This window comes from Homo sapiens, chromosome 11 (genome assembly GCF_000001405.40).
Source record: "Homo sapiens chromosome 11, GRCh38.p14 Primary Assembly".
Lineage (NCBI taxonomy): Eukaryota > Metazoa > Chordata > Mammalia > Primates > Hominidae > Homo > Homo sapiens.
In genome coordinates, this window is record NC_000011.10 from 67,875,149 (window position 1) to 67,895,120 (window position 19,972).

The window sequence follows — 19,972 nt, forward strand, 5'->3', positions numbered from 1 at the left end:
GCCCTTGGAAACCTCTCATCTACTTTCTATCTCTGTCAATTGGCTTAGTCTGAACATTGCATATAAATGGAATTCTACAATATATGACCTTTCATGTCTGCTTCTTTCACTCAGCATGTTTTTAACATTCATCCATATCACAACATGGATAAGTTTTATTTTCTTTTTAGACCCTATCTAAAAAGAAAAAAAAAATTGTAAAACAAAAACAAAAAAAATATATAGGATGGAGATCAGATGAGTCCTGCAAAGTTTATAATATTTACTGTCTAGCACTTTACATAGAAGCTTGCCTACCTCTGAATGATATGCAGGTACAGAGATGACATATATCTTGGCACTTATAGAAAGACCTATAAATTGTATAAAGACATCATCATTGGATTTCCAGTAACAAGAAGCGGCAAGACATGACGGTGTGTCCAGGTGTTCAGGTGAAGTTTAGGGAAGGTCTTGTCTTGACGAGGTCGGATGTGAGACCCAGATGAGATAATCTCATTTCCCCTGCTGAAATTGCCTGAGAATTTCATTCCAGTTATTTGCGTAGGTTGATTCTTTCGGTGGGGGTGGGGTGGGTGAGGAGGCGAAGTGTCAGGTGAGTTCTATTTTGTATTTGCACAACTTGGCTTTCTTTTCACTTAGCGTGTTTTGCTGTCTGAGGAATTTCGTAGAATTTTGTGATGAGTATGCAGCATAGTGGTTTGAATCCTGCAAGGCCGAGGGCCATATCTCAGCTCTGCAACTCGTTATCTATGATGCCTTGGGGCAGGTCCCATAACTCTCCAAGCCTCTGTTATGTATTCCATAGGGTTGTGAGGTTCAGATGAAATAATGCATTCTGGCAGGAATGGTTACTGCTCATGGGATTTCCATCTGCTCCCCGTATTCCCCAGACCCCCTGTAGTTAGATGGATCCATGCCAGGGTCCAATGCTCTATAAGTGGAAGTCACTGACATCACCTCTAGTCTACAGCTTTTGAGGGCTTGGGAATAACTATCTCATTCTCTCATCTCCTGGTGCAGTAACTATGGGAGAATCCTTGCATTAAGATGGTAGAATTTCCATCATTCTAGGTCTTTGAGTGGCCATATGGAGCACACCATACCCAGCCAACCCATTGTGGACATGGAATGTAAGAAATCAACCTTGGTTGCTAAGCTGCTGAGACTCTGGGGTTAATTTGTTACTGCAGCATAACCTAGTCCATCCTGATGCATGCAGCATGCAAACCACTTATGTTGACCCTTAGTCATGGTAAGTGCTCCACAGATGTTGGTTACTTTTGGTAGGGAGATAGATTGCCTCTGAAAGTTGTGTTAGCTGATCTCATGATGCCAATGTTGCTATTTAGTAATTGGATAAATTGGACTTGGCTCTCCTTCCAGCATGTGGGAGAGAAAGATGACTGAGAGACAATAAGGCACTATTATCTTCAGTTTCTGTCCTTGGATACCCTTGGTGGCAATGAACAATGCATGCCCCTCTGAGAAAACTGGACCTAAAGGAGAATGGGAGGTGATACCAGAATTGGGAAAGTCCAAGGCCCCAGGCATTTCCTGGTCTGGAGACAACTTTGAGTCCTTGGTGGGAAGATTCTCCAAGGGAACATAAATGCTTCTACTATCTAGTTTGTCTCTTTGAGAATTAAAACTTTTTTTTTTCATTCCAGTAGTTTTTGGGGTACAGTTTGGCTCTTTGAGAATTGCATAATTATTAATTTTAGGGGTCATCTGTACACATCTGTATATTCCTGAAACATGGTAGAAACAGCCAGCAGTCAGGCGACAATCTACCATGACCACTAAAATATCCCCAAAGTGAAACACTAGATGTGATCCACTAGGTTTAGTGGAGGTGGCTGGCTTGACAGTTGATTATATTTATTATTGTCACTGTGGTGATTATGGCCACCACATGATGCGTGTTGGTCTTTTGGTGAGTTGCAATTTGGAAGGAATAAATCCATTTTTTTTTTTTTTTTTGAGTCTTGCTCTGTCACCCAGGCTGCAGTGCAGTGGTGCCATCTCAGCGTGCTGTAAACTCTGCCTCCCAGGTTCAAGTGCTTCTCCTGCCTCTATGGCCAGGCTGGTCTTGAACTCCTGACCTCAGGTGATCCACCTGCCTCAGCCTCCCAAAGTGCTGGGATTACAGGCGTGAGCCACCATGCCCGGCCCCATTATCCATTTAACCAATATCTATTTAGCACTTTGGGTGTGGTGGAGGATGAACTGCAGGGGAGAGAGGAAGCCTCCTCTTGCCACTATGTTTTCAAGTTGTCCTAATACTCCACCATGACATGCAGGCTTGTGGGTCCCAGAGCTCCAGAAGCATCTCCTGACCACAACATCCTGACCCAGATTCTACTGAAAAATACGTGAGTCTAGCAGAGCCATCTCTGACACTTCCCTTCTTTTGAGCGGCTGATCTGTCAGCCATGGGGAGCCCTTATGAAAGTGCAGTGTGTTTCGTGAAACTTGAGGTTGATCAAAGAATACCATTAAACTTTGTTAAGAAATCTACATATTGATGACATAGGCAGTGGGGTGGAGGTGGGGAAATTCCCAAATACATTTTAGGAATTATCTCAGAAGGAGGTAATAGTCAGAACTCTTTGTTGCCAGTGACAGAAACTCATCTTACTAGTGTGGAGTGGAAAAGGGATTATGTTTTTCTCTGCACTCCCCAACCCCAACCCCAAGCAGATCCTGAAAGAGGGACAGGATTGCAAGTGGATTATTTAGGAGATGATTCCAGGGAACACCAATAGGGGAGTGAGGAATTGATTCATGGAAAGGCAGGAGGCCACACAGGGGGCTTCAATGAGCAGCTTACCACTCCAGGCAACTAGGATTTGACCCCACTGGGGACCTCTGGGAGGTGATGTGGAATATATTTCAAAGTTGTTCCATCCAGGGGGCAAAGATATTGAAGCATTTATAGCCTGGCTCCCATCCGTCACTGGCTGAGGACTGGTCCCAGGGCATCAACTCTCTGGCTTTTCTTTTTTCTTTCTTTTTTTTTTTTTTTGAGACACAGTCTTGCTCTGTCACCCAGGCTGGACTGCAATGGCATGATCTCGGCTCACTGCAACATCTGCCTCCCACGTTCAAATGATTCTCTTGCCTCGGCTTCCTGAGTAGCTGGGATTACAGGCACCTGCCACCATGCCCCGCTAAATTTTTATTTTTTGTAGAGAAGGGGTTTTGCCATGTTGGTCAGGCTGCTCTCGAACTCCTGACCTCGTGATCCACCTGCCTCAGCCTCCCAGTGTTGGGATTACAGGAGTGAGCCACTGCGCCCGGCTTCTGTGGCTTTTCTGACATACTCCATGCCTGACTTTGAGAAAGCCCTCATGTGAAAGTCTTGGTAGTATGCAGTAGCAAGCATGTACTAGAATGATAAAAACCAAGGGGCTTACCACAAGATCTCTCTCTCTGTCTCTGTCTCTAGCTTTGTCTGCATCCTGGCTTAATTTCTTCTTACTCAAGCCTTTTCTCCATAAGGCGAGAAACGTGGCCACAAAAGCTTCTGTATTTCTCACTACACACAATTCCTGTCATCACAGAGAATGATTAACTAGGTCTAGTTCCAGTTTGGAAAAATATTCAAGGGAAGAATTCTGATTGGCCAATTTAGGCCAGATGCTCATCCCTGGACCAATCAACTGAGGCCAGAGGGGTGGAGTCATTTGAGAACATGGCAGCCCCCATGGGAGCCACATGACTGGAGTAGGAAGTGTGAGTCTCTACAGAGGGGAGGGCTGCTAGGCTGAAAAGGCAATAGATGTCTGCAGTGAAAGGAATAGATCAGGAGATACATTCTGTTAAACCTGTTAATTATTTGAAAAAAAGAGAAACTTTCAATATACAGTCACAGTATACGTGAGCCGGTGGCTCACGCCTGTAATCCCAGCAATTTGAGAGGCTGAGGTGGGCAGATCAGAGGTCAGGAGTTCGAGACCAACCTGACCAACATGGTGAAACCCCGTCTTGTGCGCCTGTAATCACAGCTACTCAGGAGGCTGAGGCAGGAGAATCGCTTGAACCAGGGAGGTGGAGTTTGCAGTGAGCTGAGATCATGCCACTGCCCTCCAGCCTGGGCAACAGAGTGAGACTCCTTCTCAAAAAAAAAAAAAGTTACATTGTGGTTCCCCCAGCATGATTTATCAGAAAGGAAAAACTTACAATATGTGTATTTCCTATGCACAGGCTACTGCTATGAATTCAAATTCTTAAATTCCAAAGATTAATTAAAATGTTTCTCAAGACACATAAACTGTTAGAATCTGCTTATAATGAGGCTGAAGTTGAGTAAGAAGAGAACTGGCATTTAGGACACTACTTTTCTTCTGTCGAGTACTGTCAAGTTTTGGTTCTGCCTGGAAGTAGATGCACCTCAAGGGAGGGTTGCATGTAAAGGTGTGTGCGTGCGTGCGTGTGTGTGTGTGTGTGTGGTAGTTTCCAAAAATGGGTACAACTTTCTGCAAATGCTCGTGCAGTATAATTGAACCAATCTTTCCTTTAAGAGGTAGAGTTTATACTCCTCTACATGAATCTGGGCTGCCTATGACTTGCTTTGTCCAGTGAAATGCTGCCAAAGTGATGGTGACCAACTTCTAGCCGTGAAAGGAAAATAAACCTTGGGGCCCCAAGATCACTAAGCTAGGCTGGGCTCGGTGGCTCACGCCTGTAATCCCAGCACTTTGGGAAGCTGATGCAGGCAGATCACCTGAGGTTAGGAGTTCAAGACCAGCCTGGCCAACATGACAAAACCCCGTCTCTACTAAAAAATATGAAAATTAGCCAGGCGTGGTGGCAGGCGCCTGTAATCCCAGCTACTTGGGAGGCTGAGGCAGGGAAATTGCTTGAACCCTGGAGTTGGAGGTTGCAGTGAGCCGAGATCGCACCACTGCACTCCAGCCTGGGCAACAGAGCGAGACTCTGTCCCCCCACCCAAAAAAAAGTTACTAAGCTAAAGAGAAAAGTCAAGCTGGGAACTGTTTAGGGGAAACCTGCCTCCCATTCTATTCAGTCACCCCTTTGCTCACTGAGATAAATGTATATCTGATTGCCTCATTTGGAGAGGCTAATCAGGAACTCAAAAGAATGCAACCATTTGTCTCTTTACCTATGACCTGGAAGCCCCTTCCCCTTGTCTCACCTTCACCTGGAGTTGTCCCGCCTTTCCAGACTGAACCAATGTACAACTTACACATATTGATTGATGTCTCATGTCTCTCTAAAATGTATCAAACCAAGCTGTGTCCCTACCACCTTAAGCACATGTTGTCAGGACCTCCTGAGGCTGTGTCACAGGCATGCGTCCTCAACCTTGGCAAAACAAACTTTCTGAATTAACTGAGACCTCAGATTTTTGGGGTGCAAATAGTCTTAGGCCTTGAGAGCCCTCTCGTAGTTTCCATATTTTTGCCCTCATGCATGCTGGCACCAAGAAAACCTTGGCTATCCTGCTTAAAGGGCCATTTGGAGAGGGGCTCTGGAGGGCGAGGGGCCACATGGAGGAAAACAAGGTTCCCCGGCTGACAACCAGCACCAACTGCCAGGCACATGCATGAGGTCGTCCTGGATGTTCTGCCCAGCTGGCCCTCCAGCTGCAGGTAGCCACACAAATGAGCCCAGGTTAAACCAGCCAGGAAGTCCCCACGCAACTCACAGGGTCATGAGCAATAATGGCTTGTGGTGGTTTAAAGTTTCTAATTTTAGGTGCAATAGGTAACTGAAACAGCCCACAAGGGTGTGAGCCTGTGGAGGGTGCATTTCCCACCTGCTGAAGCTTCTCAATTCCCAGGATCCAATCCAGATAAGACTCTTGTTCTCAGTGTCCTTGATGGAAACGGCAATGAACTTTTTGCAGATTGGACCATCTCGGAAATCCCAAAGATCGGAAACTATTTTTTTTCTCAGAATCGTCCACACAGCATTGAGCCTTAGGAATTTCTAAGAAGGATCTGGGATGAAAAACAATCTTTTGAAAAGGTATTTGTGTAGCTTCACTTCAGCAAGATTCATGGTGGGTGTTAGACAAAGTGCTGGTGTTAAGCCAAACCATGTTTTTCAAAGACTCATCTGGCCTCAAGGTTGGCAGGATCAGAGTGGCCTCCCAGGATCTATCACATCCTCAGAAGAGTTGGTTCAACTGGCATGTACCCAGATCTCTTTGAGCTAGTATGACACTCCCTTGAGTCAAAGGCTGCCACATCACATCTCCTTTAAGTCCCCCTAAGTACGACCCCAGAAGTATTGACAAAATAGTGCTATTCCTGAAGATTTCAGGAGGACATAAATGAAGAGACTGAACTGCAAGGTACAAAAACTTCCATCTTTGCTAAAGACCCTCATCCAGGCTGGGCACGGTGACTCACGCCTGTAATCCCAGCAATTTGGGAGGCCGAGGTGGACGGATCACCTGAGGTCGGGAGTTCAAGACCAGCCTGACCAACATGGAGAAACCCCATCTCTACAAAAAATACACAATTAGCTGGGCGTGGTGGCACATGCCTGTAATCCCAGCTACTAGGGAGGCTGAGGCAGGAGAATCTCTTGAACCTGGGAGGCGTAGGTTGCGGTGAGCTGAGATCGTGCTATTGCACTCCTGCCTGGGCAACAAGAGTAAAACTCCATCTCAAAAACAAACAAAAAGTCCTTATCCGATAGTCATGCCACTCTATCTGGCCATGTAATTTCTCCTCCTGGCTTTCTGTAGCAACAGCCTTCTGAGGAACCTCACTCTGCCGTTCAAAACCCCTTCAACTTGTACCCTTCATCAGCAAAGTACTTAGCTCAACAGGTATGCCTCTGGGGGAACTCATCCACATGCCATTTAAGGATATTTCCAGCAACATCATCTTCACTACCCCAGGATGGCATTTTAGAGTGGATGACGTGCCTGCTGGATTTGTTGTACTCGAGCGAGTTAGAGAAAACGCTACACTTTGAGACGAATTAAGAGTCTGTTTATTTAGCCAGCGGCTAAGAAATGGCTAACGTTTAAAGTTCTCTCGACCTCGAAGTAGAGGCTAGATTTTCTTTTATACTTTGGTTTAGAAAGGGGAGGGGGTCTAGTTAAAACAATTTTACAGAAGTAGGCAAAAAAGTTAAAAGGATAAATTGTTAAGGAAAGTAAACAGTTCTAGGTCTAGGGGCTTTAAGACTATTACAAGGTGATAGACGCGGGGCTTTGGGCGTTATCAATTGGACGAATTCCTGGGAACTGCGGATATTGCTCGCCACAGTTTCTTATCAGTTAATTGCATTCTTCGATGTGCTGGGAGTCAGCTTGCACAAGTTAAGTCCTTGAGGAAGGGGCTGCCAGTGAAAGAGCCAAGATGGAGTATGTCTGGCTCTCGTAGCTAAGGGAGAGTCAATTCAGGTGGAAACAAGGCTAGGTGATTAAAAGAAAGGGAGAGTCTAAAAACAGGGTTAGTAAAAACAAGGTTGGGCATTACATTCCTCATTGTGTTTTTGGGGAATCAAATCGTTGATTCTTTAGTTATAACAAGGGGTTTATATTGAGTTTTAAGATACATAAGTTTGACAGAAGCTATGTGTTGTTTTACAAAATTAATAAACTAATTTAATATACAAGGTCCAAAAATTAGACTTAATACTAGGATGGGGAGGGGGTCTGGCTAACTTAGTAATTAGAATAGTTAGCTCTGGGTTCTAGTTGAACATGCTTTGATACTAGGGGATGTTATTTTCTTGTTCTTGTTGGCGCTTATCTAGATTTTCTTGCACTTTCTGGAGTGTATCTTTTATGACTAAGAATGGTGGAGGAACAGTTAAATCAACTTTGTCAGGGTGTTTCTGGAACATAGGGTTACTTAGATCAGTTAAAGGCCTGATTGGCTTGGGTGGGCTTTATGAGACTAGGGTTTTTTTGGATAGTGAACATAGACTTAACATTAAATCCTGGGATATAGAATCTTAATCTTCATGACATGCCATGATACTATTGAGTTGAATTAAGGTCATGGACAGCTATAGTAAGAGGATTACAATTTTTCTAGTACATAATTTAGGATGAGAAGCACGACTTATGGAAAGAGTTGAAGATCTGGTTGATCTTTTAGAGTAGGTGGCTAAAGTTACACGTGTCTAATCAGGGCAGAAAAACTGATAAGTATCTTGACAGCTAGCATCAGGGTGATTTCTAGGACAGAGGTAAAAGTCAATATTTTGGAGTCTTTTTTCTGCACTTTTGGAGCTTCTACACTTAGTTTGGCTCTTGGAGTGTCTGAATCTTGCTGCAAGGTTGACACTTCCTGCTCCTGGGACTGGCAGATTGTGTTGTTTTTCGTGGGTATGGACTGGCTTTGGGAATAGTACAAATAAATCAACTGCAAAGGAGACTTCCTTGGAGGTACTGGCCTTCTAAGTGGTGTTTGCAAATACACGTCCTGTTGTGAAAGAGGTGAGGAGAAAGGAGTAGGAAGGTACAGAGGACGTAACTGGCAAAAACAAATAAGTGAGGTAGTAAAAAGAATGTATCTAATGGCTTCACCTGACTTAGGCGCAGTTTTAAGGGGCCTGACTTAGGCCTGGGGACTTATGTTTTTAGTTGGGCTCTGTTGGCCTTTTTGATGCGGGAGTGATGAATCTAGGCAGGAATGCCATCTACTTTCAGAGCAGCTGGCGTCGTGAGGATGACGGTGTGAGGTCTTTTCTAAGCAGGAGTGAGTCTTTCTTTTTGGAACTTTTTAACAAACGCTAGGTCTCCTGGCTGGAATGAATGGCAGGACTTTTTCTGGTCAGGAACTGGATTGGGATGGGCTCCTCGAACAAGTGGCAGGATGATCTCTTGTACCAGTTGGAGAGACTATAGGTACTGTAATAAATTAGTTTGTGATATTTCTGCTAATTTGGCATCCCTTAGCTTAGGCAAGATAGGCAGCGCCTTCTTATACATGATTTCAAAGGGTGAGAACTTAGCCTGGTAAGGGGTGCACCTTACTTTAAGTAGGGCTAAAGGAAGGAGACTTACTTAATTTACACCGGTTTTTAAGATTAATTTTGTAGGAGTGTTTTTTAGGGTGTGGTTCACGCTTTCTACTTGCCTGGAACTCTGGGGCTGATAGAGCTCCAGGCAATAGAGGCACAATGGAGCTTCTATTGAACGTTTAACGCCTTACTGACTGACTGAGCTATAGGCGAGGTGAAGGCTGCTCTATTATCAGACTTTATGGCAGCAGGCAGCCTATATTGAGGGATGATTTCATTGCGTAAAAACTTAACTACTGTGTTGGTGGTTTCGTTTTCGGTAGCAAATGCCTTAGTCTATCTGGAGAAGGTGTCTACTAGTACTAGAAGGTATTTGTACTTAGCCTGGTGTGGTTTGACTTCTGTAAAGTCAATTTCTTACTTTTTTCTCGGCGAGTTTTTTCAGAGACAGTGGCCTGGGCTGGGTTTAGGACTTTGTTTGGCATTTACTTGGGTGCAGGTTGTGCACTGGAGAGCGGCTTAATCTGATAGGCTTTGAAGACGGGGGATCTTAAAATGGCTCCGGAGGAGCTGAGGTAGCTTTGCTCTTTTTAAGTGGGTGGTAGACTGCAGGTGACTGATTAAAGTTTCTTTAAGAGTTCAGGATATGAAGATTCTAGAGTCAGGAAGAATCTACTAACTTTCCTGATTTTTATTGGCTCTGAGATCTGAAGCCAGTTTTTTTGTTGTTGTTGTTGTTGAGTATACGGGATTGTCAGGCAGATCTGGCTGAGGAAAGGAGACTGTGGGCAGCAAGTTTAGAGGCGTGACTGAAAGTTGCGCTGCGACCTGAGCTGCTGAATCAGCTTTCTAGTTACTATGGGCAAAGCCGTGTTTTCTTTTTGATGTCCTTTGCAGTGGATCACAGCTATCTGCTGAGGTGAGTAGCCTGCTTTCCTGGTAGATGGCTTTATGTACATGCACAGTAGCAAAGGCGTACTTGCTGTCACTGTAAATGTTAATACGTTTATTCTACTTTATCGGAGAGCCTGAGTGAGGGCGATCAATTCAGCCTTTTGTGCTGAGGTGTTCGCTGGTAAAGCTTGAGCTTACAACACATCTGTCTCCGTGGTAACAGCTGCACTGGCTTTTAATACTTCCTGCTTGAGGAAGCTGCTCCTGTCTGTGAACACGGCGGCATCTGCCTTTTCCAGGGGCACATCTTGAAGATCAGATGGGCCAGTTTCGATAGTTTCTAACAGTTCTTGACAGTCATGAGCAGGAATAGTGCAGTCTGGGTCAGGATGTAGCGAAGCTGGATTGAAACACTTTGTGGGAGAGAAAGTCAAACCAGGCTGATCTAACAGTAAACTTCGAAACTGCAAGATGCGAGCATTTGACATCTATTTGCCAGAAGCACTTCGTAGTAAGGTCTTTACAGCATGAGGAGCTGTAAGGGTTAAATTTTGGCTTAGAGTTAACTTATCATCTTCTTGGACTAGGCTTGCTGTAGCCTCTATGGCTCGCAGACAACTTGGCCATCTAGAGGCCACAGGATCTAGCCTCTTAGATAAATAGGCCACTGGGCATCTTTAGGGTCTTAGAGCCTGAGTCAGCACCTCTTTAGCAACTCCTTGGCTTTTATGGAGATATTAGGGAGGGCTAAAGCAGGGGCTTCAGTTAATGCTAAATTAATGGGCTATTTCATTCTGCACTTCTTGGATAGCCGCCACTAAGATTTTTGTTTGTCTTTTGAATGATTTATCAGCGGCCTTTTCAGCTGCCTGTGTTGTTTTTGTTTTTTAACCTTTTGATGGTCAAAAGCTTTTTGGACTATTTCTAAAAGCTGACTGATATTTATTCTAGCAAATCTTTCTAGTTTTTGGAGTTTCTTTTTAATATCCGGGGCTGTCTGAGCCACAAATGCTAAATTAAGAGCACGGCTATTTTCGGGAGCTGCCGGGTCAAAAGGGGTGTAAATCCGATAAGCCTCCTGGAGGCGCTCTAAAAACGTTCTTGGTGACTTATCGGGCCTTTGGACAACGTCGGTCGTCTTAGACAAGTTTATGGGTTTCTGAGCGGCTCTTTTAATACTTGCGAGGAGATACCGGTGAAAATCGTCTAAAGCTCTCTTTCTACTTGAGGAATTTGGGTCCCAGTTAGGCCGGGTAGAGGGAAAGACCTCCTCAAGGAGGTTTCTAGCTTCTTCTTCCGGTCTATTGGCTGATGTGAGGAAGTACTTTTTGGCTTCTTTTTGGATACGTTCTTTCTTTTCAGAGGTGAAAAGGGTTAAAAGGAGCTGTTGGCAATCATCTTAGGTGGGCGGGTGAGTCCAGAGTACAGACTCTGTCAGAGAGGTCAAAGCCTGGGGCTTTTCAGAGAAGGGAGGATTATGGGTTTTCTAATTACATAAGTCAGAAGTAGAAAAAGGGACACAAACTAAGAAGGGTGCTGAGCGCTCGTCACCTGGAGGGACTTGTGCCTCTCTCAGTGGTAGTAGAGGGGCTACTTCTTCCTGCCACGGTCATGATTGAGAGGCAACGGGTGGCGAGTCTACAGGGGACGTCGTCGAGCAGACATGGGATAACTTTAAGGGAGAAGGTTGGTTGTAAGGCGGTGGGACTGGGTGAGGGAGACTCTCCTCTTCTTCAGAGGGAGGCAGTACAGGGGGAGCTGAACTGGCTGAGGGTCGAGGCGAAAACTCGGTCTGGCTTAGGAGGACCTTGGAGGTAGAATTATGAATGGCTCATGAACGGAGCCATGGAGAGTGGATCCTGACTAAACTTAGCTATTGATCAATGTAGAGAAACTGATCAGGGTGGCTAGGAGTTTCAGTAACAACCTGCCACACAGCTTGAACAGTTGTGAGGTTCAATGACCCTTCAGGGGGCCACTTGACTTTAAACTTTGGCCATTTTATTTTGCAGAGTGTCTGGAGCTTACCTTTTTTAAGGCGGACTTTATAATCCTCTGAACTGAGAGAAAAATTCTGCAGCATACATTGGAGAGGGCTTTAACTTTACAAGGCTGGGAGGAAGTGTTTCTTATTTTTTTTTTTAAGGCAATTTAATAAGATTTGAGCATAGATATTAAACTTAGCATGGACAGAGAAACTTATTTCTTGGGGGACTGGCATAGTGAAAGAACAGAATCAATATGACTAGAAAGAGCAGAAAAACTTAAAACAGCTAATACTACTTGCTACATTGCTGTAGCTTTAAGATTGAGGGAGGAGGACTAGAGCCAGCCTGAGATCTTCTGGGTCAGTTTGATCTAGGCGTTCTTCTTCTTCTTCTAGATCTGCGCTTTAAATACTTTTGGTGTCTTTATGACTTAAAGGCAAATAGCTTAAACTTAGCTTTTTCTTTTAAGGGTTTAAGGAGTGAGAACAGAGCCAAGTCCTGGAGACGGTGAACTTGCTGTCGCACCAGAAAACGAGATGTGCAGGATAGGGGGCAGGGACAAGGCGGAAAAGGACTACTCGGATCATTTTTAAGATGGGAGAGTAGCCACAGAGGAGCAGAGTAAGAATCTAAACGAGGTAAAGCAGTACGGGCGTACATTTCTTTACACGGTGTTCTACTGAAGGGCACAGGAAAAGTTACAGAATGACAAGAGAGGTGAGCAAGGAAATCTACAGGGTGGCTGTTTTGAATTCACTACTGGTTTAGTTTAGAGGACGTCTAATCACTTGTACGTGGAATATGATGATCTAAATACTTACAACTTTCATGGTGCTAGAAATCTTAATTAGGGAAATGTTTTTCACACTTGTTCTTGTAACAACACTTGATTTGCTTCTGGCAGAAAAGACAGGACTGTGGTGACCAGCCTAAATGATTGATGAGAAATTTAACCTCCTGTGACAAAAAATCAGCACTAAGGACTTTGAAGAAGTTTTTACTTAGACGTCTTGGGCAATATCAACGTCTTAACATGCAAAACTTTGACAACTACTAACAAGACAATAGACACTGAACAGAACAATCAACATAAAACAAACAATTGACTTTAGGGCATGTAAACAGTTATGACAGTTTCTTCCTTTTTTTTTTTTTTTTCAGACAGACAAGGGGAGGGGCTCCTGTGATGGGATCAGTCAGATGCCTGCCTGGCCGCTCCCCCTGAGGGGACTTGGGCTCCTCTTAACATTGGCAGGCTGGTATAAACTTCCGGCTCAGATCAAGCTATGCCTGATGCTGCCTTAAGCCTTATGAGGTCGCCACGGAACCGCAGGTGAGGGTCTACTTGAACTCCGTAGCTTTAGCCGTGGAGCTACAAACTGGAGGACAAGCGCAAGCCCTTGTCCTCACTCATTCATTATTCACACAGAGTATATAACAGTTTTTTTTTTTTTCTTTCTTGGAGATTCTTCAAGAAACTTGAACAAGAGAAAGATGAGAGATAGAAAGAGAGAGAGAGTGACCGGTCTGCCAGAAACCAGGACTCAGTCCTCCAGCATCCTGGGATGTGGACTGAGTCAAGGGAGGGCCGCTGTCAGAGCCACTTCCCTCCTAGAAAGAGACACAGAGGTGCCTAACAGAAAACCAGGGCTCTACCTTCTAGCGTCCTAGAGAAACAGGCAGAGTCAAAAGAGGGACACCCTCATCAGGGCCGCTTCCCTCTTACTAGAACTGAAGTCAAATCTGACCTACCTGACCTCAGGGTCAGAAGTCGAGGACTCAGATGTGGAATTTTTATGGACACCCACACGGTAGTCGATCCGCTCTCCTCTGAAAGACGGTCACCTTTCGGGGACCTAAAAATTTTTTTTCAGGTGGCACCCCCCCTACAAGCCGGCCGGCCTTCTGGGGGAGCCCAGAGCGAGCCCGGCTCTTGCCTGGTGGCGTTTCTTGCTGGGGCCTCCGAATGTTGTACTTGAGCGAGTTAGAGAAAATGTCACACTTTGACATGAATTAAGAGTCTGTTTATTTAGCTGACGGCCAAGAAATGGCTAACTCTTAAAGTTCTCTTGGCCCCGAAGAAAGGGCTAGATTTTCTTTTATACTTCAGTTTAGACAGGGGAAACGGGTCTAGTTAAAAGAATTTTACAGAAGTAAAGTAGGCAAAAAAGTTAAAAGGATAAATTGTTACAGGAAAGTAAACAGTTCTAGGTGTAAGGGCTTTAAGACTATTACAAAGTGATAGACGTGGGGCTTTAGGCATTATCAATCGGACAAATTCCTAGGAACTGCGGATATTGCTCGCCACAGTATCTTATGAGTTAATTGCATTCTTAGATGTGCTAAGAGTCAGCTTGCACAAGTTAAGTCCTTGAGGAAGGGGCTGTCAGTGAAAAGGCCAAGATAAAATCTATCTAGCTCTCTTAGCTAAAAGAAAGTCAATTCAGGTAGAAACAAGGCTAAGTGATTAAAAGAAAAGGAAAGTCTAAGAACAAAGTTAATAAAAACAAGGTTAGGCATTACAGATGGGGTCATCCTTATATTCAGCACAGCGTTTGTCCTGAAACTTCAATGGAGTGCTCCTAGTTTGATAACTTGGACCATGCCAAATAAATTGAATTTCTCTTTCTTAACAACAGATGTTTGAATACAGCCCCGTGACCCTTTCTGCTCCTTCCTGCCTTCCTCCTCTCCTCTTCCTTCCCTTCCTTTTCAAGAGCAGGGTTTGCAAACTTTTTCTTGAAAGCATCAGATAGTAAATATTTTCGAATTCGTGGGCCATACAGTCTCTTATAGTAGTTGCTCAACTCTGCCACCCATAGCATGAAAGCAGCTGATATAGTTGAATATGAGTCCCCACCCAAAACTCATGTTGCAATCCCCAGTGTTAGAGGTGGGGTCTGGTGGGAAGAGATTGGATCATGGGGGTGGATTTCTCATGAATGATTTAGCCTCATCCCTTTGGTCCTGTCCTTGCAATAGTGAGTGAGTTCTTGCAAGATCTGGTTGTTTACGAGTGTGTAGCACCTCCCTCCTTACTCTCTTGCTCCCACTTCACCTTCTGCCATCATTGTAAGTAAGTTTCCTGAGGCCTCCACAGAAGCTCAGCAGATGTCAGTGTCATGCTCCCTGTATAGCCTACAAAACTGTGAGCCAATTAAAGCTCTTTATATATTGCCCAGTCTCAGGTATTTCTTTATAGCATGAGAGAACAGCCAAATCCAGCAGCCATAGACAATATGTAGCAAATGGACATGACTGTGTTTCAATAAAACTTTATTGACAAACACATGCACAAGCAGGTCAGATTTGGCCCATGGGCATTAGTGTCCCAACCTCTGCTCTGGAGTATTCTCTTCAGCAACCTCTGCCTCCTGGGTTCAAGCAATTCTCCTGCCTCAGCCTCCCAAGTAGCTGGGATTACAGGCACCTGCCACCACACCTGGTTAATTTTTGTATTTTTTAATAGAAATAGGGTTTCACCTTGTTGGCCAGGCTGGTCTCAAACTCCTGACATCAGGTGATCCAACCACCTCAGCCTCCCAAAATGCTGGGATTACAGCTGCCCACCACCACACCTGGCTAATTTTTGTATTTTTAGTAGAGATGTGATTTCACTATGTTGCCTAGGCTGGTCTCGAACTCCTGATCTCAAGTGATCCACCTGCCTCGGCCTCCCAAAGTGCTGGGATTACAGGTGTGAGCCACTGCAGCTGGCCTCTAGATTTTTTTTTTTTTGATCGTTGCTTATTTGGTTTGACTTTCATTTTTTCCCCCATTGTGGTAGTCATTTTCTGAACGCCTGTTAGTTTGTCCATCTCTCTCCTCTGTAGTCCCTAGAGTCAGATGAACTCCTCTGCAGGTGCAATGGTGTAACACACTCTAGTGCTGAATTTTGAGCAGGAGAAAGAGAGCAAGAGTGACCAGTACCCTTGGAAACTCTGGCCTCCTGAGAATTTGGTGTCTTCCCTGCAAAGGTTGCAAACCTGTTAACCCACAGGCCGGAGAGAGAGAGAAGTCAGAATCACGATCTGTTAAGCTTGAGTTTAATATTTGATGCACAGAGATCACTGAGTTTTTTGATAAGAATTAGAGGGGGAAGAAATAGCCAGAGAACAATTTCTATCTCCAGGTGAGGATTCAGGAGATAATTCTGCGAAAAGAACTTCCTGAGAACTAAGATGGGGAAAATCACTGGTATTAGAAGAGTGAAAAGGTCAGTAATTAAGGCTACAACTGTGCTCTTAGAGGCAAAAGAAGAAAATGAGACTGCCAGGCATGAATAATGAGAAATCTTTGATGGAATTAGCCATGCAGAACAGATATTAAATGCATCCTCATTCTTCTCATAGTCAAAAGTATTTGCCTAAGCTGGATGGGAAAAAGAGAATCCCATTTCACTAAGTATAAAAGAGGGGATTTTAGAGAAGGTCTCAGAAGAAAGAGATGTGGCGGTTTGGTGAAACTCACCAGAGGCTGAACCCTCTCCAGCATAACACACGGATTGGGAGGAGTGGGGTGGCATTAGGCCAGGTGCGTAGCCCAGTGCTGCTCTCTCTGGACTTGTTTGCTAGCTGAACTCATCCATTTGCATAATTTTCAGTGCCATTTCTCAGCTGATGAGTCCTGAACTTTTGTCTTGAGGTTAGACTTCTCCTTCAAACAGCAGTCTTAAACACTCAACTTCTTTCTTGTTTTTTCCACTTGTCAACTCATGAACACCTCAACCTTGTTAAATCCAAAGCCAAACTCATGGCTTGGAGTGGTAGGTGATGGCTGTAATCCCAGTGCTATGGGAGGCTGAGGTGGGAGGATTACTTGAGGTCAGGAGTTTGAAGCCAGCCTGGAAAACACAGTGAGACTCCCTATCTACAAAAAAAAAAAAAAAAAAAAAAAAAAAAGCTAGGCATGGTGAAGTGCATCTGTAGGATCTGTAGTCCTGTTACATGGCAGGCTGAGGCAGGAGGATCACTTGAGCCCAGGAGTTTGAGGCTGCAAAGAGCTATGATTGCACCAATGCACTCCAGCCTGGGTGACAGAGCCAAAGTCCCTGTCTTAAAAAAAAAACAAAAGCAAAACTCTTTTTCCTCCTCCTTCTCCATGGGCTCTGTCCGTGCCATCTCTGTTCTGTAAATGGCACCACCCCCTGCTGAGCTGCTCAAGGTGGTCATAACTCATGTGTTGTGCTAACTCTGCTTTTGCCCTCTTCTCCAGTCAGAAGTCCTGTGATTCTAAACTTTATCCAACTTGTCCACTCTCTCTATCTTCACTGTCATTATCTTTGCCTAGGACACCGCTATCCCAGCTGGGCTACAGCAGCAGCCTCCTAACTGGTCTTAACTGGTCCTCTGCACCTGCTCTCCATGCTCAGCAATCCATTTCCTACCTAGCAGCTTCAGTGATCTTAAGGTGTCCATTGAGTCTCATCCCTGCCTTTCCTGCCCATGGCACATAGAATAAAATCGAGACCCCGAGTCTTCTGCCTGTTCCTGCCACCTCTCCAGCTCTCTCCTATCTCCTCCCCTTGGCCTACTCTATTTCAGCCACTCTGGCCTCCTTCTGTTTTCTTTGACTTTCAAACCTTTCTCCACAACAGGGCCTTTGCACTTGCTGCTTCAGCCTGGAATGATTTTCCTCTGCACCTCCCCAAATTAGACCATCCTTTAGGTCTCAGCTAAAATGGTGCTTCCAGACAGCTCTTTCCTGACCCCTTTATAAAGTGGACTTCCCTGCTCTTCTCCACCTTAACCTCATTATTTCTTGTTGCGGGAAGTCAGGGACCCCAAATGGAGGGACTGGCTGAAGCCATGGCAGAGGAACATAAATTGTGAAGATTTCATGGATATTTATCAGTTCCCAAATAATACTTTTATACTTTCTTATGCCTGTCTTTATTTTAATCTCTTAATCCTGTTATATTCATAAGCTGAGGATGTACATCACCTCAGGACCACTGTGATAATTGTGTTAACTGTACAAATTGATTGTAAAACATGTGTGTTTCAACAATATGAAATCAGTGCACCTTGAAAAAGAAGAGAATAACAGCAATTTTTAGGGAACAAGGGAAAACAACCATAAAGTCTGACTTACTGCAGGGTTGGGCAAAAGGAGCCATATGTTTCTTGCACGGAGTCTATAAATGGACGTGCAAGTAGGACAGATATTACTAAATTCTTTTCCTAGCAAGGAATATTAATATTAATACCCTGGGAAAGGAACGCATTCCTGGGGGGAGGTCTATAAATGGCCGCTCTGGGAATGTCTGTCTTATGCAGTTGAGATAAGGACTGAGATATGCCCTGGTCTCCTGCAGTACCCAAAGGCTTACTAGGGCGAAAAACTCTGCCCTGGTAAATTTGTGGTCATACTGGTTCTCTGCTCTCGAACCCTGTTTTCTGTTGTTTAAGATGTTTATTAAGACAATACGTGCACCACTGAACATAGACCCTTATCAGTGGTTCTGCTTTTGCCCTTTGCTTTGTGATCTTTGCTGGACCTTTATCAGTAGTTCTGCTTTTGCCCTTTGTCCTGTTCCCTCAGAAGCATGTGATCTTTCTTAGACCCTTAGTAGTAGTTCTGCTTTTTGCCCTTTGAAGCATGTGATCTTTGTACCTACTCCCTGTTCTTACAGCCCCTCCCATTTTGAAACCCTTAATAAAAACTTGCTGGTCTGAGACTCAGCAGGCAGCACAGACTTACTGATATGTACTGTCACCTCCAGCGGCCCAGCTGTAAAATTCCTCTCTTTGTAGTGTCTCTCTTTATTTCTCAGCTGGCTGACACTTATGGAAAATGGAAAGAACCTATGTTGAAATATTGGGGGCAGGTTCCATCAATAGTTCTTACATGGATTTACTTATTTTTTGTCTCCCTCCATACCCTAGAAACTCCTGGAGGGCAGAGCTGTGTCTGCCATCTTCATCATTGCATTACCACCACCAAGCACAGTGCCTGGCACAAAAGAGTTGCTCAATAAATAAATCAGGATGAATGGATAAATACATGGATAGGCACTTTGAGCTACAGATGAGTTTAAATACTTTGTGTTTTTCTTAGTCAAACATGTGCAATTAAGCATGTGATAAATGATATGATGACCACACCTGTGTGTTGCCTGATGTTCTTTGCAATCACTAAATGAAGTCAATTGTGCCTGTTTTGACAGTTCTGTTTTCAACCTAATGATCTGTTTCTTTTAACTTCTGGCTGTTGGCTTTGTTTGGGTTTGTTAGCCTGACAAAGTGGCAGACATTAGTATTTGCTCTTTTGTTTAAATGTCATGAACTTTAAAAATGCCTTTGCTTTTGGTAAGAAACCCTAGTTAGGACAGTCTAGCAGTCAGGATGATTTGGGTTCTGGTGCAGTAACAACAATCCCCAAATCTCAGTGGATTCATATAGTGAGGTATTTGTTTGTTTGTTTGTTTTTTCAGACAGGGTCTCACTCTGTCACCCAGACTAGAGTGCAATGGTGCAACCTCAGCTCACTGCAACCTCTGCCTCCCAGACTCAAGCGATTCTCCTGCCTCCTGAGTAGCTGGGATTACAGGCCTGTGCCACTACTGTCTCACTAATTTTTGTACTTTAGTAGAGACAGGATATCACCATGTTAGCCAGGCTGATCTTGAACTCCTGACCTGAAATGATCCACCCGCCTTGGCCTCCCAAAGTGCTGGGATGACAGGCATGAGCCACCATGCCTGGCCACAGTGAGGCTTATTCTTGGTCACGTTGCATGTCTGGGCTGTGTTAGGGCATTGTGGGGTGGTCTGTTCATTGTGTTCACTCAGGGATCCAGGCTGACAAAAGCCCCATCTCTGAATGTGTCCTTGATCACCACTTCAGGGGAAAGGGAATGTGGTGGATCACACAGCCTTTTAACACTTCCACCTGGAGGTGACTCAAGTTGCTCTTGCTCATGGTTCATTGGACAAAGCAGATCACAGAGACATGGGCAACTTCTCTGTGCCTGGAAGGGGAATCAAAATATGAATAGCTACATTGATTTTCCTTAGCTTTTACACAGAAGGCCTCATTTAAACACAGTTACTTATTTGTGTTTTGAAGCCAATTGTTGTCCATCAAACTTCACAGAAGATATGTGCACTTCCAAGTTATTATTAAGCA

General features: G+C 44.4%; 1 protein-coding gene and 1 long non-coding RNA gene across 3 annotated transcripts in view; one reads left to right on the top strand and one right to left on the bottom strand.

The window, feature by feature from the left end:
* The window catches only part of LOC112268076 (translation initiation factor IF-2-like), a 154,152-nt gene that overhangs the window by 63,140 nt on the left and 71,040 nt on the right, over positions 1-19,972 (bottom strand). The gene's annotated exons all lie outside the window — the stretch shown is intronic.
* On the top strand, positions 9,280-18,948 carry LINC02754 (long intergenic non-protein coding RNA 2754). Of its 2 annotated transcripts, none has more exons than NR_183627.1 (3): positions 9,280-9,880; positions 13,005-13,176; positions 18,731-18,948. It is a non-coding gene; the product is annotated as a long intergenic non-protein coding RNA 2754 (long non-coding RNA). The 2 variants fall into 2 exon arrangements; NR_183626.1 differs by having other exon boundaries at positions 9,280-9,330.